The sequence below is a fragment of the Homo sapiens genome, chromosome 11 (assembly GCF_000001405.40).
Source record: "Homo sapiens chromosome 11, GRCh38.p14 Primary Assembly".
NCBI lineage: Eukaryota > Metazoa > Chordata > Mammalia > Primates > Hominidae > Homo > Homo sapiens.
This window is the reverse complement of record NC_000011.10, coordinates 34,430,318-34,457,444: the sequence shown is the minus strand read 5'-3', so window position 1 is coordinate 34,457,444 and position 27,127 is coordinate 34,430,318. Positions and strand designations below refer to the sequence as shown.

At 41.1% G+C, this 27,127-nt stretch overlaps 1 protein-coding gene, 1 long non-coding RNA gene and 1 pseudogene across 2 annotated transcripts in view, besides 2 other annotated features; all 3 read right to left on the bottom strand.

The window, feature by feature from the left end:
- CAT (catalase) overlaps positions 1 to 18,511 on the bottom strand; it is a 33,127-nt gene extending 14,616 nt beyond the window's left edge. Inside the window, exons 1-8 of the mRNA NM_001752.4 lie at positions 18,366 to 18,511; positions 8,082 to 8,253; positions 6,347 to 6,457; positions 5,238 to 5,368; positions 4,251 to 4,355; positions 3,519 to 3,644; positions 1,243 to 1,434; positions 628 to 780 (exon numbers count right to left, since the gene is read on the bottom strand). Of these exons, the coding sequence (NP_001743.1) occupies positions 628 to 780; positions 1,243 to 1,434; positions 3,519 to 3,644; positions 4,251 to 4,355; positions 5,238 to 5,368; positions 6,347 to 6,457; positions 8,082 to 8,253; positions 18,366 to 18,431 (1,056 nt within the window). The 5' untranslated portion in view covers positions 18,432 to 18,511. The remainder of the gene's footprint in view (positions 1 to 627; positions 781 to 1,242; positions 1,435 to 3,518; positions 3,645 to 4,250; positions 4,356 to 5,237; positions 5,369 to 6,346; positions 6,458 to 8,081; positions 8,254 to 18,365) is intronic.
- Positions 18,179 to 18,478: an enhancer, noted in NCBI's record as "active region_4604". NCBI's record gives its function as "activates an Ori minimal core promoter by ATAC-STARR-seq in GM12878 lymphoblastoid cells {active_cell/tissue: GM12878}" and the evidence as "EXISTENCE:reporter gene assay evidence [ECO:0000049][PMID:35858748]".
- Positions 18,649 to 18,698: an enhancer, noted in NCBI's record as "active region_4603". NCBI's record gives its function as "activates an Ori minimal core promoter by ATAC-STARR-seq in GM12878 lymphoblastoid cells {active_cell/tissue: GM12878}" and the evidence as "EXISTENCE:reporter gene assay evidence [ECO:0000049][PMID:35858748]".
- On the bottom strand, positions 21,123 to 25,156 carry LOC105376622 (uncharacterized). The gene is made up of 3 exons (XR_931180.3): positions 24,998 to 25,156; positions 24,328 to 24,433; positions 21,123 to 21,199 (listed from the first exon to the last, which is right to left on the bottom strand). It is a non-coding gene; the product is annotated as an uncharacterized LOC105376622 (long non-coding RNA).
- Positions 25,797 to 26,622, bottom strand: CIR1P3 (CIR1 pseudogene 3; annotated as a pseudogene).

The following is a 27,127-nucleotide window of genomic DNA, read 5'->3' as shown; positions in this document are numbered from 1 at the left end:
ACTTGAGGTCAGGAGTTTGAGACCAGCCTGGCCAACAGGGTGAAACCCCGTCTCTACTAAAAATACAAAAATTAGCTGGGCATGGTGGCGGGCGCCTGTAGCTAATCAAGAGGCTGAGGCAGGAGGATCGCTTGAACCTGGGAGGCGGAGGTTGCAGTGAGCCGAGATCATGCCACTGCACTCCAGCCTGGGCGACAGAGCAAGACTCTGTCACAAAAAAAAAAAAAAAAAAAAAAAAAAGAACAAGAAAATAAAGTTAGGCTTACCAAGGTATTATAATTAATTAACCATACTTCAGCTACAGACAGAACAAACCATGCTTCACTCTATCAATACTTAAGGTATTTCTATTATGTCTTTTTTTTTTAATTAAGAGAGTAAGTATTCTTGTCTTCACATATGTAGGGATCTTACCATGGACTTTTGTTTATACTTGGTTTACTCAAGGAATGCTCATTGAAGAATAGTTCACCTCAGTGAATCCCACAAGGTAACCAAGCACCCAGATTAAAGTTTAAGTAATGTTCTTGTTAATTCCTCACATAAAGATCATGCCAAGCTGCATATTTTGTGTGTGCATGCTCACATGGACACCTGCCTCAGAACATCTCAATCCACCAGGCTCACCTGAAGCATTTTGTCAGGACTGGCCTCAATGCCAGGTGGCATGTTGCTTGGGTCGAAGGCTATCTGTTCAACCTCAGCAAAGTAATTAACTGGATTCCGGTTTAAGACCAGTTTACCAACTGGGATGAGAGGGTAGTCCTTGTGAGGCCAAACCTGAAAATGATGTCATATTCACAATTACCAGGCAATCAACTGAAGGAAATCAAAGCTACCCACAAAAATACCAGATTTCAAATACAATCAAGCCAATGAAAATAATTTTTAAATCCAATAAAACATAAGAATTTAAGATGAGTGCCTTAGTTAAATCTTTCACAATAGTAAGTGGTAAATACTGACAGTTTCCCCAGGAAAAAGTACATCAGCTTTTCATAATCTGTTCCCTGTTAATAACAATATATGAAGCCACATACACATACTCAATGAAATGACAAACAGGAACGTGGAAGTAAGATGCTGGTAAGCACTCATTCACAGCTTAGGACACTCTGAAGTGGTACCCTCTGTATTTTGTATATGACTTCCCCATTATTATAATTGTTTGACTAGATTTTTTTTCTAATTAGGTAAGAAGAGACTTAAAAAAGAAAACAATATAGTTGTTTACTGACTCACCTTGGTGAGATCGAATGGATTAAATGGAAAAGTTTCTGCCTGATTAAATGTCATGACCTGGATGTAAAAAGTCCAGGAGGGGTACTTTCCTGTGGCAATGGCGTTAAAAAGATCCCGGATGCCATAGTCAGGATCTTCCTGGGAAAGTCTCGCCGCATCTTCAACAGAAAGGTTTTTGATGCCCTGGTCAGTCTACAAAATGAAAGAAAGAAGCTCCAATGGAAACTTATTGTCAAAGTTATCAAAATTTCATCAGTAATTCATTGAAGGATTATGAGTAACACTGCCCAAAGAATGAACTTTCTTTACAACAATACTTCTATTGTTCAAATCTGATACTAATGAATTTATCAACAAGAAATTCTACTTGATTATCCCAATACTTTTAAATGTCAAGGGAATCCCATCTACACATTTCATATTTAAAATCAGTCCTATCTTTCCCTTTATGTATTCTATTATTTGAATTTTTACACTCATGTTACTTTCCAAATCAGAAAAATCAAAATATACTTAAAAGTAGGCAAAAGATTAATAAAATTAAAGGACTACTTGCCTTTTATCATGAAGTAATGTTTTAATTCCATTTCATGACAGCTCAAATCAATTACTGAGACTGTGCTCGGCCAGTATCCCTTCACCCCTGTCCTATTCCTTTTTTTTTTTTTTTTAATAAATCATAGAATCATAGCTCATAGAGTTGAAAAGAACTTCAGTACAGCCACCTGGAACTAGTTCTCTGACTATGAGCAGGCAAAATTAATATTCTGACTTTCCAAGCAAGACATTAAAACCCAGAGAAGCTGTGTCACTTCATAAGTGCTCCTGTTATCATATCATACTGTTCTTTGATGGACTGACCATGTGATCTTATTCTCAAAGACCTCCCAACAAGCCAAGTGCCGCAGAAAGATTTCCTTAGCAAAAATCAACTCTGAACGCTGGTCTATTTCTACCACAGAAATCCCAACTGTCTCATCAGTGAAAAGGTTTGAACTCTTACTACTGAACAAGAAGTAAAGCCACCTTCAGGATTAAAACAATGAAGGTCACCATGTACAGATCGCCCAAAGAGCTAATATATTAAGTAGTACAATAACACTGCAATACCTTTCTGATTTTAACTGAATCCTTTAGGTTTAGAAAAGAATAATCTTAGGTCAGAATAATCCAGACTGATGAATCCATGTAGATCTCAGGCTACCTTAGGGCCCTAGGATAAAAGACCCACAAGCAATCCAATCTTTCCAGGACTTGTATAGCTGGTAATATTATGCCAACTTCACAGTGAAAAGAACTGGAGCTCAAAGAACTTTTAATACTATGCCCAAGGCCACAATTATCTAGGAGAGTAGAAATTTGAGTTCAGGCTGGCATAACTCCAAGGCTACCAACTAGACTGGCTGTCCTAGATACAACCACTTAGTCTTATTCTAAGTAATACTACATTGACCCTTTTGGCAATTACAAGCCAATGGGTCAACTGTTTCATAAAATTTTTCCTTGTCAAATATTATAGATCCAAGTTATGAATATAAAAAGAGGTGATAGTTTTCCTGTTTGATATACCTACATTAAATTGTTCAGATAAAGAAGAAAGCAGGATAGAAGAAAATAGGGCTTTTGGATGTCACTAAGAGAGAGATTATCCAGTACTGGTCACGAGCCCACTTCTTTCTGCTTATCTTAGCAGCAGTATTTGGAAACAGAGGTTCTCAGGCTTGTTTCTGACTAGCCCTTGGGAGTTCTCTGGGAATATCACTAACATGCCAGGGTTCACTGGCAATATTGCTCATTGTAACAAATGCCATGCTTATACCAAAAGAGGGCCCTTTATAATATTTCAGTTGATTAAAACATTCTCAAAACCCTCCCCAGATGTAACTGATTTGATCTGGCTATATGAATGCAAATTTTTAAAAACAGTATAATTTTGTTTTCTGACATTTGTAATTGATTTTACTTATATGCCTTGTTCATAATAAAACCTCAATAAATGCTAAGTAAATAGATGGATGACTTAAAAAGTTAAAAGAAATGATATTGGAAAGACACTATTGGATGTTGGAAGTGATAATGAGATTGGGATACGCTCCAAGGTCCTCAGATGGTAGCCAACAAAATCAGTACTGATCAATGAGATCAATACTTCCCAACTTTGGGGATGGAGGTGAGGGAAAAGTGGGAGAAGCCTTAATCTTTGCTCAATCCTTCAGGAAAAATAAGGAGGTATGCGGTAGGAGCCTTGTACCCTCTGCCCCAAAGGTAACACATACCTTATAATGGAATTTGCAATAAACTGCCTCCCCATTTGCATTAACCAGCTTGAAAGTATGTGATCCATATCCATTCATGTGGCGATGTCCATCTGGAATCCCCCGATCACTGAACAAGAAAGAAACCTAAAGAACAGAAATATAAAGCCTAAAATGTTTTCATTTAAATCAAAACATCCTTGATTTTTAAGATATTCCTTAGTTTCCAGAAAGTCCCTTAATGACATAAAACATACTAGCCAATTTCCCATGGGAAGGGTTACCATTATTATTTCACTTGTAGAAAATAACAAACAGAAAAATTTTAAATCAAAATGATATGCAAATCACTAATACTATGACTCAAAATTCTATGAAGGAAAGCCAAAACAACCTGAAAACTGGCCTAATTTGTTATTCAAAATTTATTTGCATAGCAAATTTGTTTGGTACTACTTTCCCCCCACTTCCTTAATACAGAGCTTTACCTTACACTACAGACTTTCATCCTTACTACTGCTAAATATCAACTGACAATGTTGCTAGCTATCTATCATCATCATCATCATCATTTAAGGCCGATGAATGGGGGATGATTAGTAAAGCCAGTTACTACAAAACTCTTCACGATCAAGAAATCTGAGGAAGCTGATTCCAATAAAATAGCCAAAACTGGAGAGACACTTTATGAAGAGGCATAATTAAACACTGCATCCCAGGTGATATAATACAATGGCAAAAAAGGGTTCATACCTGATGCAGAGACTCAGGACGTAGGCTCCAGAAGTCCCAGACCATGTCCGGATCCTTCAGATGTGTCTGAGGATTTCTCTTTTGGCTGTGGATAAAAGATGGAAACTAAATAGAAAAAAGAGAGAAAAAAATCCAAAAACTAAGTTTACAGGAATTATGGTGTCTTTCATTATATATGCCTATTACTAGGTTTATGGATTATAATTCTAAATACAATCCTAGAATTTTAAACTGCCAAACCATAATATGAAATTTACTCAGCATAGACAACTAGCATCTAAGATACCCTAAAGTATTTCAAATATACTCAAAACTATAGTCTTTTCTTTTTTTTTTTTTTTAAGACAGGGTCTCACTCTGTCACCCAGGCTGATTGCAATGGCATGATCACAGCTCACTGCAGCTTTGACCTCCTGGGCTCAAGCAAATCTCCCACCTCAGCCTCCCAAGTAGCTGGGACTATAGGCATGAGCCACCACACTTGGCTAATTTTTGTATTTTTTTGCAGAGATATGGTTTTGCCATGTTGCCCAGGCTGGTCTCGAACTCATGGACTCCAGTGATCTGCCTGCCTTGGCCTCCCAAAGTGCTGGGATTTATAGTATTTCTTCACGGAAAAAATATACCCACCCTCCCGCATGCGCGCACGCACACACACCCCCTCCTGCTGACTCAGAGCATGTAGAGACACCCTCTGCTTGTTTCCAAAGTAAAGTCCCTCTTTTTACTAATCTTCGATGCTCTGCAAGGAAAACTAAACTCACTTCCCATTAAGTCAATCTGTCTTAAAATGACAAATCTAAGACCAATGGTAACTGTTCTTACTTTATCTTATTAAATACAGAAAAATGTGTTGAAAAAAGTAGTCCAGACAACTCGCATTCTTTTCTTTCTGCCTTTCCCACGGCTTCTCCTCAAATGCCAACCTATTTGAAATCAATTTAAGTCAACAAACATTTGTTGAGTGCAAAATACTCTATTACCTACCAATATGGGATCCCTGATGAAGAAAATGGGGGTGTTATTTCCAACGAGATCCCAGTTACCATCTTCTGTGTAAAATTTCACTGCAAACCCACGAGGGTCCCGAACTGTGTCAGCTGAACCCGATTCTCCAGCTACAATATTCAAATGGAAACAGGAAGCATAAGCCACAGCACTTTGCATCCAAGAAGCCTGGAGACATAAAGAAGCACCTGGATCCATCCTTTCTAATCCACTTCCAAGAACTAAATTAGGTATTTAAGTGCCCGGGTTATTATTTCTACCCACCAGCTAATTCAGTCCACAAATCAAACAAAATAATTAATTGAGAGCAATAAGAGAACACATGTAATAACAGCTGACAATGTCATTCATTTACCATAATAAGATAACTTTGTTCAAACAGGTAATTGAACTTTTAATTAAAATAAGGGAAGAAAATAATTATGAGGCTTAAAGTAGTGACAAACAGAATAAGTGAGTTGTCAAAATGATGAGGTTAACATTAAGAAAATGAGTTAAAATATTGGTTCTTAGTTCTTAATTTCATTTATTTTTACATTCCACAGTATTTTTAAAATGCAGAGACTGACACAGAAACGGAACTAGTGAAGCACTAGGTATGTTGAAATATAGTATGATAGATCTAATACTATCTCTGTAACGTGAGAAACATCACTTAGCCTCTCAAAAATAAAAAGAATCCCACTCTGCAAAGTAGATCTACAAATCAGAGATTATATCTGTAAAGCACCTAACCACAGTTGGCACAGAATTAATTCTCAATAAAGGTCAGCTGTAGGCATAGTTATTAAATAAGATTTCCACTCTATTCTTCTGTTAGAGGCAACCACTTTTAGGAAAGCTCTTTCCAAATGTCACAGAATTGCAGAGGTAGCCTCTGTGTAAGTGTGATTTCCTAAGACCTCAACAAACAGAAATACAAGTAACTTCCTATGTGTCTCCAAATATGTCTTCTACTGTAAAACCTTGACATAATTTGGAGAAGTGCTTGCTTCCTATTTTCTAATAACTTTTTCTTTAAGTTATAAACATCCCCAAAAGGTGAAGTTGAGTTAAGCCATACCAATCACGCCAATAAACCAACTTACCAACAGTGGAGAACCGAACTGCGATGGGAGTCTTCTTTCCAATATGCTCAAATACCTTTGCCTTGGAGTATTTGGTAATGTCATGTGTGACCTCAAAGTAGCCAAAGGCCCCTAACGAGAAAGACACAGAAATCCTTACCATGAGACCATTACTCAGACATTCAGGTCCTCAACAGGCACCTGGGTGACAAGAGAAAATGATGGTTAGCACCAGCCTTCTGGGAGCTTCCAGTATGTTGGAGGAAGGGGAAATGCCCAAACACAAAATAAAGAGGGTGAAATGCAAAGCCCTATTCTATCATTCAGTGCTAAGTCGAATGCCACATAGCTGGAGCCAAGAGAAGGAGGTGAGTGAGGCTAGAAGTCGTCAAGGTTGGCCCAAGGACACAGGGTCTCAGAGGGGCCTGAAGTACAGGTAGGACCTATGAGAGAAAGTGAAGAACAGAGAGAAGAGGAGATGAAAACATAAGAGAAAGAATCTTTTCAACACTTAGCAACGATGATACAAAGCAAGCAATAAACTAAACAAGTCAAGATGGAAAAATACACACAAACCACTGGAGAAGATGGGGAGAAACCTTATCCAGGAAGAAGAGATGAAGAAATGCAGAAGTCCTAACTGGAAGTCCAAGTCAGCAAGCTAAGAGAAAAACTTCCTTTCTGTGGAGCTCTTTTTCCAACTGAGTTTTTCACTTTCTTTCAAATACCACCCCCATCTTTTGTGTCTGATATAACAGCGATAAAGAAAGTTTTACAGAAATTGTTGGAAAAAAGGAAAGGAAAAATCATCACAAACCCACCACCCTAACATAACTACCCCAAATTTTGCAGCTCATTCCAGTAATTACCCAGTAAGTACATCATTTAAACTTAGTTGCAATTGCAGTGCATGTGTCTATGTCTGTATTTCTGTACAGCAGGTCCTCAAACAACATTGTTTTGTTCAACGTTGTTTCATTATAACGTTGATGAGAAAAAAATCTATTCCTAGCTGAGGCCACCATCTGTGTGGAGTCTGCATGTTCTCCCCATGTCTAGATAGGTTTTCTCCTGGTACTCCAGCTTCCCCCCACATCCCAAAGATGTGCGTGTTAGGTGAACTGGCATGTCTGAATGGTCCCAGTGTGAGTCCACCCTGCAATGGACAGCATCCTGTCCAGGGCTGGCTCTTGCCTTGTACCCCAACCTGCCAGGACAGGCTCTGGCCTCCCACCACCTTGAACTGGAATAAGCTAGTAAATAACTATCTTATTTTACTAATCTTTCTTAAAGGTATGTATGGCTCACATTTATTTCAATGTTTAATATAAGAGGTATTTTGAGTCTCTATTTAGAAGTTTGATGATGTTTTATCAATCAGAAATATGCCATAGGAACTTAACTCTTGCTTACGTCAATTAGCCTATCATAAAATTGGTTTCATTACATGTCGTTTAAAGTCAAAGTTTCCAAGAACCTATTGATGTTAAGTGAGGACTTATTGTATTTTTATTCCTTCAATGATGGGAGAAATGGAAGACTGCTATTTTTAAAAGAAACTATTTTATATATAATGTTTAACCTGAGGAAATAACCATCATTTATTTACTAATTTCCCTACTGCTGGATGTTTTTCCTTTCTCCCACAAATGGAGATTTGACACTTGTGTTAAAGGTCTTCCAATCCTTTGGGAAATAACACTTGACCCAGGTGCTGTGAAACAATCTTTTTACAGCAAATAAACACAGCACTTACCTGCTCCTTTAGCATGCACAACTCTCTCAGGAATTCTCTCTCGGTCAAAATGAGCCATTTCATCAGTGAAAACCACATCCTGAACAAGAAGGGGCCCACGGGGCCCTACTGTAATAACATTAAGTTTGTCTCCTACTGGGTTACCAGCTCCAGTGGTCAGGACATCAGCTTTCTACAGGAACACAGAAAGAAAGTGCAGGAGAGTTAGCACAATCAAACCTTTCATTTACACTGTCACGGGTACATAGCTTTGCAATGTTTATACCATCTGCCCTCTTTTTTAATTTCCTGTGTCCAAAGTACTAAAATCTGACAGGATGGGCCATTGCCTGAAACTTTTAGTGATGCCCCAGAAACCCTTGACAAATCTCAACACTAATCTGCTAAGAAACTTGCTCTGAAGAGCAGAAAGATGATTTTGGAGCCTGAAAATGTGCTCAGCACCTGCTCCAGAGAAAGCCACTGGGTTCTGCAAAGCTCCCAGTCAGAGAGGTGCCCAAAAGCGTCCTACAAGCTTAACAGTGAAATGTCCAATCCAGCAATGAGAAGACGGTCTCCAGGGAAGCTGTGCTGGTCAATACTTTACTCAGAACTTACAAACGCTTTATTACTGCCACGATCTTCAAGTGCGCTACCTTGTTTAGTGCATCTCAAGAAATGTACACCAGCTATTTGCAACATCTCTTTTCAATTAAAAAAAAAAAGTCAATGGCTTTCACTGTCACTAAAAGTAAACTGTTACTGGTAAGGTGGATTATAGTATTAATGTTTTAAAGATAGCAAATGTCTCTGAAATGGGATAGGTTATTTTACTGTAATAAATAATTAATTTTAATCCACCTGATTCTCCAATTTCAGTTACATCAGAAGACACTCAGCTGTCCCTCCTCTAGGGTTAGAGCGGCATTCTTCTAGCCCCACATGATCCTGGAAGCTCATAGCTTCATCTAGTTCCATGGTCAGAGAATACTTTTGACCACAGACAACTGCCTCTGCAGTGTCTTCCCCGGGTCACTGGAAATCAGGAGAGACACGTAAGTGACGCAAAGCTACGCCACCTCCACCTGGGAGAGGAACTCAACGCTGTCTATGACAAAACTCAACAGACCAACTTCACACACAGAGAAAAGCACTATTTTTAGTATTTCCACACACCTAGAGTGGAGTCTGTAGTTTTACTCCCCATGCATGTCTGTCCTGTACATTAAAATAAATTCCTGCCTCTTCTCTAGAAGGCAATACGGTGGGGAGTAGGCACTTACAAAACCACAAAAGATCTGTGAGCTGTTTGAAAAAAGATATTGAATAAAGGAGACCGTGCAATTTGCAAAACTAATAAACAAGACCCTCTCACACACTAGTAAATGCCCTTGCCACTAGAGTTATATCTTCATCCAAGTAGGAAGAGGCCAACATGGCAGCAGGGAGAAACTATGAGTGCCAGCACTAGAGCCTGGGTCCAACTTCCAGTTCTACCAATTACCAGCTATGTAGCTGCTGGTAAGTTACTTATTTATGAGTCTCCATTTTCATCTGCAAAATAGAATAATAAGTACCTCCTAAGGTTAACACATGAATTAAAAGAGTTAAATGTAAAATGCAAGCCACACATTCAACACATATATGCTGTCACTTCACTGGCTGTGAGAACATGACCTCGCAGCAGAAGGAGCAAAGCATTTGAAGTTTTATTTTTCTAGTAATCATGACAGATGCATACTCCTCCATCCACACTCTCTCACTCTACCATCTCTGTCCCTAAACCCATCTAGCAAAGCCCCTTCTAAACTGTCACAGTTTAAGGGTCCAATCAACACTTACCACCCAGTCACATCACTCTTTTGAAGATACATATGTTGCTAATACGTGTGACCCTCTGTGACGTGCTAATACGTGTTACCCTCTGTAGGTTTATTTTTAATTTAAAGTAGAAAATGAACCAGAAAAAAAATTTCTACTTTCTAAAGTAGAAAATGAACCAGAAAAAGAGCAATTTCACCTTTAGTTTAAACCTAAAGCCTTGGTTTTCAACCTTGGCAATGCACTAAAATCACCTGAGGAGCTTTTTAAAGCCTCCTGATGCCTGGGCCATCCCCCCTAGAGATGTCTGATAGAAGTGCCCTGGGTGAGGCCTGGGCTATTTTTAAATGACTCCTGTTCAAGCTAGGATTGAAAACCACTAACCTAGAACTATTGGGTGATAACAAAGTTAAAATAATTAGAGAGCCAGAGCAAACCAAATCTGTTCACTCTTTAAATGCTCTTTTCAACTTACAAACAAGGTATTTAAGGAAGCCTTTAAAAAATAAAGGGACATCCAGGCTGGGCGCGGTGGCTCACACCTGTAATCCCAACACTTCGGGAGGCTGCAGCAGGTGGATCACCTGAGATCAGGAGTTCGAGACCAGCCTGACCAACATGGAGAAACCCTGTCTCTACTAAAAATACAAAATTAGTACCAGGTGCAGTGGAGGGGTGACTGTAGTCCCAGCTACTCGGGAGGCTGAGGCAGGAGAATCGCTTGAACCCAGCAGGCGGAGGTTGCGGTGAGCTGAGATCGTGCCATTGCACTCCAGCCTGGGCAACAGCAGCGAAACTCCGTCTCAAAAAAAAAAAGGGGGGGACATCCCATAAAAGGTACAAGTATGAGAAAAGATACCAAGAAGCTCAGTAAAAGGAACGCTAAACAGATGAGAGTGTTATTTACATGCCAGCATTCTTAACGTGGGGAGGGAGCTGCCCCTAAGGCAGAGATGAGAGCACATCACATGTTCCCTTCTGGTTACCGGGTCAGGGTGATATGGTCAAGAATAAATACCACACCCAAAGGCAGCAGGTGCAGAGTTGGATAAATGAATAAAGTACTAAAGCTTGAGGTGGTCTTTCCTGATGACACTGACTATTAAGAGTGGGAATGCTGGAATTATGGCAGTCCTCCCTCCTGCCCAATGAAGGAATCCCCTCCTTAACATCAATCCTGTTAAGAAATGAAACCTGAGTTTTTAAGTTACAAATGGAGGCTTCAGAATCTCTTCCATTTCCCCACTCTAACAGTTAGATCAATTGTCCTCATTTATATAACAGCTTTCCCCACAAGCTCATGTATATACAATTTACCTTCAAAGCCAGTGGGGCAGGAAAGCTTCAACAGTCAGCAACAGAAAAGGGAAGCCAGGGAGCAAAAACTAGAAAGGAAAAGATCCCCCAACTTCAGGGGATGTTTAGCGCAACATTGGATAAGAGGAACTGATCTAAACTGAAAGATAGAGTATTAATATTAGAAGGTGAGGAGCAGGATGCGGTGTATTTAAGATGAAAATAATTAATGCAATGAAGATTTACTAGATGAAATGAGAGGGTGGGGCTAGAAAACGGACCACGCAAGTTATCTCACTTAAGCCTGTCAATAATCCAGAGATCAATATTATTAATCCCATTTAATGGGCGATACTACAAACTCAGAAAACTTAAGTAACTTTGCAGAGATGTCAGTGTTGTGGCACAGGTTTACTTGTTACATGTAACACGTAAGGACAGGCAAAGAGATTTCCTCCAACTTGCAATTATTGTTTTTAACTCAATGAATAACTTTAGAGCCAGAATATTTTTAAAGAGAGAAAAGCTTCTCTATGGCTGGATAATTTTAAGACCTCTCTCTGGAGAGGTCCTTGTTAACATGTTTACATCTTCCTGGCTGCTAGCTCCCATGACATCCATACGTACCTCTCCTGAACTGCTCTCTCTACCCTGCCCCACACCACTCATGAAGCAGGGCCAAGGGCATCTTCTTGTGCCCCATATAACAAAATATTGTAATTGCCTGTTTATGTCACTGTTTTTCTTTTTTTTTTTTTTTTTTTTTTTTTTTGAGATGGAGTCTCGCTCTATTGCCCAGGCTGGAGTGCAGTGGCATGGTCTCAGCTCACTGTAACCTCCACCTCCTCCCGGGTTCAAGCAATTCTCCCGTCTCAGCCTCCCAAGTAGTTGGGATTACAGGCGACCACCACCACACCCAGCTAATTTTTGTATTTTTAGTAAAGACAGGGTTCCATCATGTTGGCCAGGCTGATGATCTCAAACTCCTGACCTCAAGAAATCCGCCCATCTTGGCCTCCCAAAGTGCTGGGATTATAGGCGTGAGCCACCGCGCCCAGCCTGTCACTATTTTTCCTCTCTAGACTGTGTACTCCTTTTACATCTATATACCTGATCCCTAATACACTGCTCAATATACTAACAAACATAAAACAAATGTGTGTGGATTCAGCATGCAAATAAACTAAACCACGGACCAATATGATATGGCCAAGAGCCTTTCTAACAAGCAGGAGGAAGCAGCAACAGTCTATCCCTCTCCCTGCATCGCCCCTCCAAAAAATGAGAGAAATATTTTAATTTATAAATTCTGATCAAACACCTTTAGACACACTTGTTATGAAAACTGCCACAGAAATTAGCTTGGCTAAAAACTAGCACAATTATTAGAAGTAGGGACTTAAAGTAAAATTCTATTTTGACTTTGCTGCCTTTATAGGCTTCTTTTGGCCAGAGCTAATACATAAATGAAGAAGTTTTCCTGGGAGGAGTAAGGTTGGCTTCATCTGGTGAAATATTTTATCAACATATTACACTTTCCACTTAGTAGTTCCCTTCACTCACAGAAGTTTCAAGAACCTAAACATATTCTTCCACTTTTAATTAAAAGATTGGTTAATGCAAATTGCCCATCAGTCCCAGAGGAGTCATAATGACGTCTTTTCATTCTGTGATAAAGAATGTGCCTAGCGTTTTCTAGCAAATAACTGCCTAACATTCTCCATTTATTCAACAAAGATTCAAGTGCCTACAACGTATACACCCACGTACAGGAAACCAAAGACTGTCCTGACCTTCAAATTTCTTGGTCTGTGGGAAAATAATAAGGGTGGTCTAGATATTGACTGCTGTGGAAGCTAAAGCAATTCCGTCTTAGATACTGATCCACCATGCTGACTTCTGATTAACTCCAGTTTTAAGATTTCCAGTTTATCTATTATTCCTTGTGAAAGAGCCCCTATTTACTATAAATCCTGCCCTGAGGTCAAACAACCTTGACATTATCATACTTCAGTCATGCCATACCTCCCTTCTGAATCGCCCTTCCCTATGGTATTAAGCCCTGGGTCTGAGGGGTAATGGTATGGGATCCACCATCTTGTCTCGCCAACACGCAAGACACAGACATGGTTTCTGGTCCTAAGTCCCTACTAAACATTTCTTTCTGAGAAACTTGATTTGTCAGCCTCTTTCTTTGGCCTCTCAGCTTCCTCAGACTTTGGGGGTAGGTTTGCATAGACCTACCCACCATGCAAAAGCTAAAAAAAAGAAATGAAACCTTAAAAATTTCTGTCCCATCTCCCATAGTCTCTCCCACTGCACATAATGACTTAGCGATTCCATACCTAGGTATATTTCAGGAGAAATGAAAGCACATGTGGACCAAGGGTTAAGTCACTCAGTCACCCCTTCTCCATCCCAAATGTTAGCAGTGTAACATCAATGCAGTTATTACCAGGATTACCCTAAAAAAATATAGACCCTCACAGGCTATAATGCATAGGCAACTCACTGACAGAAATGGATAGTCTAAGACTTAACCTCTCTCCCAGGTAATAAGAGAACTGTATAAAAAGGTAAGGTTTGAAATGTTCAAATTCTCCCATTTTAAAGGGATCAGAGGCTACTTATTAACATTTCCCATTTACCCCCAAGAAAAGAGCACTGGCAGCAAGCTGCACTTAAAAAAAAAAAAAGGAAATGGGTTAAAGGTAAGTATCTCAAAAGAAGAGCCCATGGCATTCTAAGCAGTGAGCAATAAAGTTCCCATTTAAGTTCCCTTCAAAGTGGCTGGGAATACCTGCACAACCACCTCCCTCCTGCCAAGAGAGAAAAAGAAATAAGAATTTTTAAGTGGATCGAGGTCATACTCATGAACACATCTGACTCAATGCTCACTTATTAAAGTTTACAAAACTCCCAATTCACCTGTCAGCAAACCAAATCTGACCACAGAAGATACGCCCAATAAATTGCTTTCACATGGTTGACTGTGTTTCCAAAATAGGACACTCTGATTCTTGAGAGAGGAGGCAACAGAGTGTTCGCCTATAGTAGTCCCAAACCATAAAGCTCTCCTAGATCAGTAAAGCATCACAACTAATTGGGAAGTGGAAGACATCATATTAGCACAAAGCTGCCCACTTAGATAAAAGCATTTACCAAGCAAGGGGAGATTTTTTTTTAATACCATCTGTTACTGTCATAATTTTCTAACAGAATATCTTAATGTCAGAAAGTAAAAATGACATATTCTTTAAAAAGAAATTATGTTGCATGTCCATTGCCGCATCACAAGAAAATGGCTGGACAGATTTTCACCAAATATGAAATGTACGCTTTGGATAATATAGTAGAGTCAGCTTCCTGGACAGGGGGTAGACTACCCCAGGTGTGGCCTGTAACAGAGTTCTAGCCAACAGAATGTAAGTGGCAGTGACCCTGGACCCTAAACCTTCCCACACTCATATACCCTTCTCCACGCTCTTGAGCCTTCTGTGCTGGACAGTGACGCCCATAAAAGCCATGTTTGACCAAGGGGGAGCTTCCTTCAGCCTGGTGCCCTCAATAACTGTGGGAAGCAGAGCACCCACCCACCTCCTTCAACCTCAAACCACTTTGGGCCATTCATGTAGGAAAGGAATACATTTCTTTTTTTTTCTTTTTGAGATGGAGTTTCACTCTTGTTGCCCAGGCTGGAGTGCAATGGCAGGATCTCGGCTTACTGCAACCTCCGCCTCCAGGGTTCAAGTGATTATCCTGCCTCAGCCTCCCAAGCAGCTGGGATTACAGGCATGTGCCACCACGCCCAGCTAATTTTGTATTTTTAGTAGAGACAGGGTTTCTCCATATTGGTCAGGCTAGTTTTGAACTCCTGACCTCAGGTGATCCGCCCACCTCAGCCTCCCAAAGTGCTGGATTATAGGTGTGAGTCACTGCACCCGGCCATAAATTTCTAATATGTTTATACCATGATACATGTTGAGATTTATTATTATAACACTTAGCCTACACATGATTCCACATGATTGAACTTAAAATATGGGCTATGAATTAATAATTTAAAAGCAATTCAATTTTTAAAAAGACAGAAAATTTGAACATATACTTCAAAGGAATATATACCAATGGTCAATAAGCATGTAAAAAGATGCTTTGCATCATTAGTCATCAGAGCAAAGCAAATTAAAACCATAATGAGATACCACTGCACACCCAACAACTAAATGTAAAAGACTGACAACACCAAAAGTTGGTAGGATGTGGAGCAACTGGAACTCCCATACACTGCTGATGAAGTATAAAATGGTACAACCACTTTGGAAAAAGGCTCAGCAGTTTCTCATAACACATTCACTTACCTTATGACCCAATAAATCTACTCCTAGGTATTTCCTAAGAGAAATAAAACCACCTGTGCACAAAAAGACTTATGTAAGAATTTTTATAGCAGCTTTATTTATTTTTAATTTTTAAGACAGGGTCTCCCTCTGTCACCCAGGCTAGAGTGCAGTCATGTAATCATGGCTCACTGCAGCCTCCACACCCCAAGCTCAAGCAATCCTCCCAACTCAACTTCCCGAGTAGCTGGGACTACAGGCATGTGTCACCATGTCTGGCTACTTCTTTTATTTGTTGTAGAGATGGGTTTTCACCATGTTGCTTAGGCTGGTCTCAACTCCTGAGCTCAAACTATCCTCCCACCTCAGCCTCCAAAAGTGGTAGGGTTATAGGCATAAGCCTTCATGCCCAGCCACAGCAGCTTTACTTACAATAGAAAAAAAATTAAATAGCCCAGGTGTCCAGCAACAGGATATCCAAATGGTGGTATATTCAAATAATGGAATCTTACTCAGCAATGAAAAGAACAAACTGCTAATACATGAAACAACTTGAATGAATTAAAGGATGGACAGACAGATGGAGTAACGTAATAAAAGACACAGGGCAAAATGTTCCTTGTAGAATCTAGATGGCAGATATATAGATATACACTGCAAAATTTTTTCAACTTTTCTGAATATTTGAAATTTTTCATTTAAAAAAAGTGTTTGAAAATTATATAGGCTATAAGGCATATGCATAATTCCTTTTGGAGGGCCCTGGGTGGAGGGAGAAGTGCCTAAAAGAAGTAAGCGGTTTTTACTAAGAGCAGCTAAAACTGAGGAACAGTAAGACATCAATGTGACTGCCAATCAGGACGATGTACACAGTGCCCTGAGATGTCATGGACAAAGGGGATGGCTGTATTTCAATTAAGAGCCTCCCAACTATAGATGTGTTTTGGAGTCAGCCATTTCTCACATGGGCAACTATGTAAGGTAAATCAACAGCAGGGACTTCAACAGTTCATGATTCTCCCAAACAAGGAAGAAGGCAGCTAGTCTCAGAATAAAGGGGAGTCCTTTAAAAATGAAAATATTACACCTGTAATCTCGGTACTTTGGGAGGCCAAGGCGGGCAGATCTCCTGAGGTCAGGAGTTCCAGTCCAGCCTGGCCAACATGGTGAAACCCCATCTCTACTAAAAATACAAAAATTAGCTGGGTGTGGTGGTGGACACCTGTAATCCCAGCTACTCGGGAGGCTGAGGCAGGAGAATTGCTTGAATCCGGGAGGCGGAGTTTGCAGTGAGTGGAGATCATACCACTGCACTCCAGCCTGGGCAACAGAGCAAGACTCCGTCTCAAAAAAAAAAAAAGAAAAGAAAAGAAAAAGAAAAAGAAAATATTTTGTTTTGTAAAAATCTCACTACTTTGTCCACACTTTTCTCAATTCACCGAGTATTCATGAAAACTTCAGTGTGAACCAGGATTTGCACCCACTGGGTAAGGAAAGAGTCTTGGGTCCAAGAAGCTGAATTCTAACCTTGTCTCTGCCACTAAGTAGTGGCACATCCTTTACTAAGACTCTACCTCTCTCTGGTTTACTTTAAGAGCTCATGAACCAACCTAATGGTATATAACAAAGAACAGGGCCAAGAGGGGAGATTTTCCAGGCCCTTGGAGGAGAATGGCAGCCTTTTCCCAAACAGGGAACCATTAAAGCAATCCATGAGCACTTAGCATTAATACCCCAGTTCACGAACCTGAGTTTTGAGCAAGAGCACTAGGCAGAATAGGGAAAACAGGGCTGCAGTCCTCTGTCTACCATTAACCAGCAGCCAGGGAACAGGGCAAGACCTTTAGACTCCCTGGGCCAATCTGCCAACAGTAGACTCAGACCAGATGTGGTCTCATCTAATCCAACCTCCTCATAGATGCCCTCTGAGACTCTGCAGCCGTGGGCACAGGCCAGGAATGCCTCCCCCACCACCAAGTTAAAATCCTACTCATTTAAAAAAATTCCTGTTCAAATGTCACCTGCTTTGTCCGGCCCACCTGGTCACTCCCTCTACATTCTACAGATAACCTCTATTAGAGCCCTCACCACGCTGGAGTGTAATCATCTGTTTATGTGTCTCGTCTCCCAGACTAGACTCTCAGCTTCTCAAGGGTGTTGTTCTTGCCGCACTGGAATTTGTACACCTTGCCCCGAACAGTGCCTAGCACCTACAGGTGCTCAAAGAATAGAATAAACGCATTAATCAATCCCTAATGTCACCCCCCAGCTCTAAAATGCTAGGCTTGACATTTTGAAGTGCAAATGAGACAATGAATGTAAAAGTTCTTTTATTTAGTCGTTTAATAATGTGCATAGTACGTACCAGTCACTGTGACTGGTGCTGGAGACCTCAAGATTGTAAAACACAATCCCTGCCCTGCTGGGACCCCACAACTATGAAAGCGTGTAAACAGTATTTCAAGAAGGGCACCATTAGAGCCTGGTTCCACTTCTCCCCTCACTGACTTCCTTGCAGCTGCAGCTCTCTGCCTCTTTCCCCATGAGCCCTCAATCTGTCCTCAAGCTGCGACCTCTGTCCCAGTTGGCAAAAGTGCAAAATTCTGAAGCAACCACCCGAGCCTGTCGCGGACAACAAAGCCTGCAGTCCCGCGCCCCACTACCCGGACCCCCCTCCCCTGCTTCGGCGAATGTAAAAGTCCGTCTGCACCGAAGGGGATCCCCCCTGCCCAGTGAGCCGCGGTACAGTCCCTCCAAGCGCCGCCCCGGGGGAAGCCGGGCCTTTACTTGCCGACGCCCCCGCTTTCTAAACGGACCTTCGGGCCCGCTCGGGGAGCACAGAGTGTACCTGCGCGGCCCGCTGCTCCTTCCAGTGCTGCATCTGGTCGCTGGCGGGATCCCGGCTGTCAGCCATAGCGTGCGGTTTGCTGTGCAGAACACTGCAGGAGGCCTCGGCTCGTGGGTCTCCACCCTCAGCAGGCAAATCTGCCTGTTGCCCCGAGTCCGTGGCGACTTCAGGCTCAGCCAATCAGCACCACCCCCTCGTCCCGCCCCCTCGGGAGGACTGCCTTCTGATTGGCTGCTCGGCGCTAGGCAGGCCAAGATTGGAAGCCCAATGGGCTCGGAGCAGGGCTCTCCGAAGGAGGCCTGAAGACCGGAGATACCCAGGAGGGTGCGGAAAGGAAGGGTCCCGCTCTGGCCCAGCAATTGGAGAGCCTCGCCCCGCCGGCCCGGGGTGCCCGGGATAGCCGAACCCAGGGCGGGGCTCCCGGTTATCAGCATCCTTCAGGCCGCCCTGGGACGCGGCCGTTGGTGGCCTGCCAGTTTTGCAGACGGAATACTTAGACCCTGCTGGGTGGGGCCTTGCGCTCCATAGCTATGCTTTCTCAGCTCTTAAAAAGTCAGCAATCCTGGGTTAAATTACTCTGTACAAAATTAAATTTTGCCATACGCTAATGTAAGTATTATTTGCAACCAAAGGATGGATGGATGCTTTTCTTTTTCTTTCTTAGCTCTTCTTAACTTATTCGTGGATTATCACTTACTAGACTAGTATACTAATTATTTAATATAAAAACACTCTGAAACGTTTATCTCCGTACAGATGGGTGTTGATTTCCTCCTTTACCAGAGAAAAACAACTTAACTTAGATGGGAAAAATGTATTCCCTTGTGATGGGAAAAATGTATTCAACTCTGGTACACTGCCAAATTGGCTTCTTTAAACACTGGAGAAATCTGCTTCCCCAAATTTTACCCCCAGGTAAGCAGGAATTTTGAAAAGCTTTGTGTCTTTAAAAAGCTATGTTGAAGAGTAAAATACTTAGTAATATATAGTACAATATTTAGTAAGTTACTGACTAGTTTGTCATTGTAATCAAAGAGTTTGAATGATTTCTACACCTCCTCAGGTGCTAGGATTTATCTTTAAGCACCTTAATATATATACATAGTATATACCATCATCTTCAAATTAAAAGTTATCAGCTTTTAATTTTTTCCAGTACAACTACATATAATGGGTGGATATATAATAGTGGAAACTTCACATGTTGTTCTTGATCTTACAAAAGTATGATAAGAATCTTGGGCATAAAAGTGGAACTTTAGCAGTTCATTGGAAAAGAAAGCCACAAATTGATCTTTAGCACCCTATACTTTTCCTATATTAAAAACAATTATAAAGATGCTGTTGGCTGTGTAATTTGGTGTCTTTTTCTACCTGCCCGATCCATACTGCCAAGACTGTAAACTCCATGTGGGTCAGGATCCTCCCATCCATAATTTATTGAGCACTTACTATATACCAGGGACTATTCTCAGCTTTTTGTATATTTGCTTAGTTAACCCTCCCAACAACCCTATGAGTTAGATACTAATATTATCTTCATTTTACAGATTAGGAAACAGAGGTATAGGGAGGTTAAATAACTTGCCCAAAGTTACACAGCTATTAAGGGATAGTCAGGATTCTAGCTTCAGCTGTTCATCTCCAAAGTCCACAGTTTGTTGAATAAATAAATGTTGAAATAATCGAGCAAATCATCTTCTTAACTAACCAACACAAATATCAACAAAATAAATAAGAGACCTGGAGTCATTTCTTAACCTTTATTCATTATATAAAAAAAAGCATGTTTTTTTTTCCTTTGTTTTTGTTACTATGGATTTGAATTCCTAAAGAATTATTTCTAGAGAAAGAAATGGAGAAACAAGACTGGTTTCTGATCTTGTCATATCTTGTATTTTAAAATAAAGGGCAGGCTTACAAGTAATGACAATAAATTTATAATGTTACATAGGAGGCTGGGTGCGGGGGCTCACGCCTGTAATCCCAGCACCTTGGGAGGCCGAGGCAGGCGGATCACTTGTGGCCAGAAGTTCGAGACCAGTCTGGCCAACATGGTAAAACCCCACCTCTGCTAAAAATACAAAAATTAGCTGGGCGTGGTGGCACACGCCTGTAGTCTCAGCTACTCAGGTGGCTGAGGCGAGAGAATCACTTGAACCCAAGAGGCGGAGGTTGCAGTGAGCCAAGATTGTGCCACTGCACTCCAGCCTGGGTGACAGAGTGAGGCTTCATCTCAAAAAAATTAAAAATTAAAAAAAGTCACATATTAGGTGGAAGTTCTATCGACTATAATTACAGCTTAAATGAAAACACTTCTTAAAATCAGCCCTAGTTAAAAAATACTTGAAACCAAACCAATACAATTACCTAAAGGTAATTGCAAGTGATTGGTTAGGTAAACAAATTGGGTTCTAGGTTTTAATATTTTAGTCATATGAATTCATGGGTATTTTTATTGATATAAATAAAAATGTTATTTTAAAAATGCTGTTCTCTGAAGTCAATTTTCAGAACTCAATGAAAATAAAATATACTGGCACAAGACATACTGTTATTAATCCTGGTATCAACAAATTTGAAACCAAGCTTGCAAAGTAGACCATGTAACAAATGTTCAAGAAAAACATTTGAGTACTCAGCTAGGAATCTTTATAGACAAATTTTATTTCATCAGTATTGCAAGAAAAGAATGGAGAGAATGAACATCATGTGTTGTTGGATGACAGGCATACAAGACAGCACAAGGGGTAATTACTCTGTTCTGATTCCACCCATCCTCAGAGAGGCCGAGAATGTTCTACATATTTCAGTTTCATTCTCTTCACAGTGGCCTTGTGAGGTAAATTCAGAGTTAGGCAAAAAGGAAGAGAAAAGAACACAACAAGAAACAAAGAGAGTTACAATTCAGTATTGGCTGTTGGCTTTAAGAGAAGAGAATAAACATCACCACAGCTCCATGACTCCTGTTCACTGTGGAACAGGCTTGAGCAAGCCAAAGAAGAAGGTGGGATTTGCTTTAAAAAGTAGCAGTGGTGTTATATGCAGTAGCAGCACATACCTTCTGCTCTGCCTATTTGGCTGCACCATATCTTTCCCGCTTTAATATGAATAATTGCCTACTTGGGAGGAGGCAACCCAGATGTCCTCTGGTGTCTGGTGATGGCCATAGCATGAGCTATGCTAAGGAGAAGAACATGGATGTGCCTTTTCCCGCCTCGGCCTTACGTGCCACGCTACTGATCTGGTGTTTGCAAAAAAAGGAAACATAGGCCAGGCCTGGTGGCTCATGCCTGTAATCCCAGCACTTTGGGAGGCCAAGACAGGTGGATCTCTTGAGGTCAGGAGTTCAAGACCAGCCTGGTCAACATGGCAAAACCCTGTCTCTGCTAAAAATACAAAAATTAGCTGGGCGTGGTGGCTCTTGCCTGTAGTCCCAGCTGCACGTGAGGCTGAGGCAGGAGAATCGCTTGAACCCAGGTGGCAGAGGTTGCAGTGAGCCGGGGTCATGCCACTGCACTCCAGCCCGGGTGACAGAGCAAGACTCCGTCTCAAAAACAAAACAAAACAAAAAACAGAAGAAACATAGAAATAATAATTGGGAATTTGTTTTTACCTTCACTTTTTTTTCTTTTTTTTTTGAGACGAAGTCTCGCTCTGTCACCCAGGCTGGAGTGCAGCGGCAAGATCTCGGCTCACTGCAAGCTCTGCCTCTTGGGTTCATGCCATTCTCCTGCCTCAGCCTCCCGAGTAGCTGGGACTACAGGCGCCCGCCACCACACCCAGCTAATTTTTTTGTGTTTTTAGTAGAGACGGGGTTTCACCGTGTTAGCCAGGATGGTCTCGATCTCCTGACCTCGTGATCCACCCACCTCGGCCTCCCAAAGTGCTGGGATTACAGACGTGAGCCACCTCGCCCGGCCCTTAACTTATTTTTTATACTTACTAATGGAGGCTTGGAAAATGCAGGATAAAATATCAAACAATCATTCAAAGATTACGATAAACAGGTAACATTTTTACCAATATTTTCTCTCTTATATGTTTGTAAAGGAGTGTGTGTGTGTGTGTGAGAGAGAGTTTTACAATGGATCCTATAGAATACATAATCTTATATCCTGCTTTTTCCACCTAACATTATCAGATAAAACTTTTTCCAAGTCATTAAATCTTTTTCCAAAATGTGATATTTTTCTCCTATGCCTACACAATTTGCAATCAAAGGACTATTCCTTTATTTACATACTCCTTTACTGAGAACATTTAAATTGTTTTCTTCTATAACAGTACAGTGACATCCTTCCTCTACATTTGTATTTATTTCCTTAGGACCTGTTTTCAGAGGTCATTTTTGGTTCAAGTCATTTGAACTTTTTAAGGTTCTTGTGACATGTTGTTGATTGTTTTCTGCAATGCTCGAGCTAGTTTATACTGTCACAGGCACTGAGAGTGTGGATTGGAAGTGCAATTTTCAAGACAGGTGAATATCTGGATTCTGGATGTTCATCAATTGCATATTTCATCACATTCTTCTGAGAGAGAAGGCCTCTCATGTTATGTTCAGCCATAACCACTAACCCATGGGAGTCATCCAATATACTGGATGTCTGCTGTGTCCTGGGCCCCCTGCCTATTGGGCTCTGGGAGTACAACAGCAAAGGACGTGGACATAGACAAATAATCAGACAATAACACGGGGAAAAAGTGCTGAGAGAAGGGAAGGCCAGCTGTTATTAGGATTACCTAAGAAGGTCGCCTAACCTGAACCTGCTAAGTCATGGAGGCTTTGAGTAAAGCTGAGAAACTGAATAGGTGTCAGGCGTGGTGTCAGGAGTAAGCATTATATGATCCACCCTGCTACCGCAGAAATCCAGATTGTTAACCACTTTTCCCTAAAAGTCTGACTTCATTCATGGTGATATGGAGATGGCTTGAGTAGGACTCAGTAGCAAGCAAATATTTACAACAGGTGTTGAGCCTTTTTCAAGTTTGTGCAGGTCCACTGGCCTCTGAACTTGACTTTGACTAGCTTAAGCTCCTGCGGCTCACCCACATTCCCTCCTTGCCTCTGGGCTCCTGCAAGGCCTGGGTCAACCAGTCATGTTTAACTACTGGGATTCACATGCTTGGATTGAAGTTATTTTTCCAGTGCTGCTCTCTCAGAGGTATTTTGCTTGCCTCCCTTGTTTATGCTTTAAATGTTGCACCTGGGCTTGACCTTGGGTTTAAGTCTGTTTGCAGAAACCAGACATGGGTTCTTGTACTCTGACAATAAAAATAAAAAGTCAAACCTCATAGACAATCAACACATTCATTATGGACTGAGAGCACACACAATTATGCATCTGTGGAGAAATGAATAGTTATGAAGTATACATGTTTGGGTGGAACCATTGGTCATAGCTAGGAATGGTCAACTAGGGGGAACGGAACAGGTAGCTCTCTTCTCCCTTTCTTTACCATAAACCCAGATCATTACCTAGTAGGGCTCAAGAGAAAAAATAGCATGGTACATGGTTAACAGCCCCAGCGCTAGCATCAGAGCACTTGGGGTCAAATCCCACCATGGCCATTTACAAACTGTGTGAACTTGGGCAAGTCACTTAATTTTTCTAAGCTACCATGTTGCTTTTGTAAAATGGAGATAGTAACACCTTCTATATTAGGTATCACCCAAGCTTCTATAACAAAAAGAGCCTCCCAAAAAACCAACAAAATAGCATAGACAAGATCAAAGCTTATTTCTCTCACAATAAAGCATTTCAGACCTAAATGGTACAGGGCTGGTTAGGCAACTCTGCCATCCTCAATACATAGCTTCCATCTCTGAGTCCAATGTAGCTGCTCACTTGATCATAACTGCATGCCAGCCAGTGGGAAGGGGGACAAAGGAGCAAAGGGAGCCCATGTCCTTTCCTTTTTAGGGCACAATTTGGAAATAGCACACTTTATTTCTACTCACATTCCATTGGCCAGAATTTCGTCACATGGCTATGCCTAGCTATACAGGAAACCGGGAAATGTAGTCACTGGCTGGGTGGCCATGGGCTTGACAAAACTCAGGCATTCTATTATAAAAGAAAAGGGAAGTGAATATCGGTGGCTGATCAGCAGCACCGGCCACACTGACCTCCAAGGGTAGTTGGAGGTTTAGGGAAGATTATATGAACCATATGAGTTAGTTATCTGTATTATCTGATTATTAGTATTTCTATTTATTCTGGAGTGCCATGTAGCTCTTGTATGAGTTGCAACGCTGTTCAGAAAATACAGCAAACTTTGTTGTAGGATATACTATTATACTCATCCTTGCGGGATGTGCTGTAGTTCAGAGACTGCCTCTGGACACTGAAGTTTGGCTCCAAGGTCACATTATGATGAACAAAGGCCAACCACTGCCCTAAACCAAACCTTCCTATCCCACAAAACCATCCTTTCAAAACATATTTTGTTTAATTGACAAACACTTAATATTGCTCTTACTATGTCTAGGCTCTACACTGAGGGATTTTCCAATATTAACCCATCTAATCCTTATAACAATCCTATAAGAGGGAATGGACTCTTACTACCTTCACTTTACATCTGAGGGCACTAAGGTACAGAAAGGTTAAGTAACCTCCCGAAGTTACCCAGATAGTTTGCAATGGGGCCAGGATTCGAACGAGACAGTGTGGCTCTGGAGATCACATCTCCACTCCTACGTTGTTCTGCCTGTGACAAAGTGGGCAGGAATAAAGGAAGATCTTGAGTGAGTGTTCTACATTCTTAGAATTTAACTCCAGCATTGCACTACCCTCTGCCCACCTGAAGACGCGGTGTTACGGGAAGCACCCTGAGTAAAGCAATTGTGAAATCCATGTTTTGTACCCACATAGTTGAGAAGAACCACAAGAAAATGACATTCTTCTCAGTCTTTAAAAGACAAAAAATGGGAAGTTGTTATGGATTTGTAATATAAGAGCATGACAGGCCTAGAGAGCCACATGGGATTGAGGAACAGCCAAAGGCAGGAATGAGAGTGCTGGAGAAGAGGCAGCTTGCAGAGCAGCAAGGATGAAGGAGGAGGAGGAAGATCTCTAGCTGCCTCTCCTTCCTGACAGCAAAGGGCAGGCAGAGACTTAGCTAAACAAGTTCATTCAAAGAATCATTTTCCACCAAGCAAGAGGACCTGTTGCCCTGTATCATCTTATATGCAGCTCCTGTTCCAGGATACGTGGACATAAACAGATTCAGTTCTGAGACACTGTGACATGAAGCAAAATTCTCCTTCTTGTGTCAGATGTGGAAAGCAATTGCTCCAGGCAACCTGAAAATGAAGATCTATTTACTTCTTTTTTTTTAACTGAGAAAATAAAGAGAAACGTTATTTTATTTCCTTGTTTGTCCTCTATATAAATTCTGAAACAAATAAATCATGTCTAGTGCCTACCTGCCTCATCAGTGGGAACTGAACTTGCATTGATTCCAGAAAGACCAAACAAAGGACAGTCTCAATCTGCAGTGACATGATCCCATTTGTGACATTTAATGCAGTTCATATTTCTAACCTGAATATCAAAGGGCTAATTTTTTTTGTTTATGTGATCTTTGGCATATTTTTCTCATGGAGCTTCTTTCTGCCATTTAAATTTGTCTTCATTCTCTCCTGTTTTCTTTTTTCTCTGTTTCCTTTTTTAGCTCCTGGTGGGGCCTCACAAATGAAATTAAGGCCATTCTTTACACATTCATCTCCCATAAGCAATCTATTTTCATATGATTATTGTTCTTTAAGATACTGCTGCCTTCATTCTTCTTGTTTCTTCTTATCATATATTTTCTGTTCTGCCATTCATACTTTTTTTTTTTTTGAGATAAAAGTCTCACTCTCTCGCCCAAGCTGGAGTGCAGTGGCGCCATCTCCGCTCACTGCAACCTCCGTTCTCGGGTTCAAGTGATTCTCCTGTCTAGCCTCCTCAGTAGCTGGGACCACAGACACACGGCTAATTTTTGTATTTTTATAAGAGAGGAGGTTTCGTCATGTTGGCCAGGCTGGTCTCGAACTCCTGGCCTCAAGTGATCCGCCGGCCTCAGCCTCCCAAACTGCTGGGATTACAGGCATGAGCCACCACACCCGGCCCATTCATACTTTTTTGATACTGGATTTGGAGGCAAGATGAACATCCTTCTTGCACATGACATTGTCAGAGGATTTCCCCATCCTTGAGCCAGAGCTGGGGAAAGCAGTGGCTAGCTCTGTAAGCAACATAAACGAACTACTTAGCAAGCACTAGCTTAATTCTCTGAAACTTTGTACTGGGATTTTTCCCAATCCCATCCCACCCAATATTCTAAATGTCAATGAATAACAATCACCGTTGCCTTTCTCTTGTCTGGCTGGCCCCTGAGGTGTGAAACAACTTACTCGATGGGCAAATTATAGATGATACAATATTAGGATTTGTATCATCTTTCTCTTAATGCCCTTTTAAACTCTGCATCCTCAAAAGAAGCCAGAAGCCACGTGGCTCAGCTTGGGGGCCTGTAGTTTACCATGTTGTCTTCTCAGGAAGACCTTTCTTGACCACTTCTTTTAATCTTATAGCTTCCTCTGGCACTTCCTGTCATGCCTTCCCTGCTTTGTGTTTTCTCTGTGATCCTTCTCCCTTTTAACATACTATATAACCGATTTCATTTGTTTATTGGGTATTTCTCCTACTAGAATAGAAGTCCATGAGGATTGGTGGGTTTTGTTTCTGGTTTTGAATTTTCTGCTTATTCTT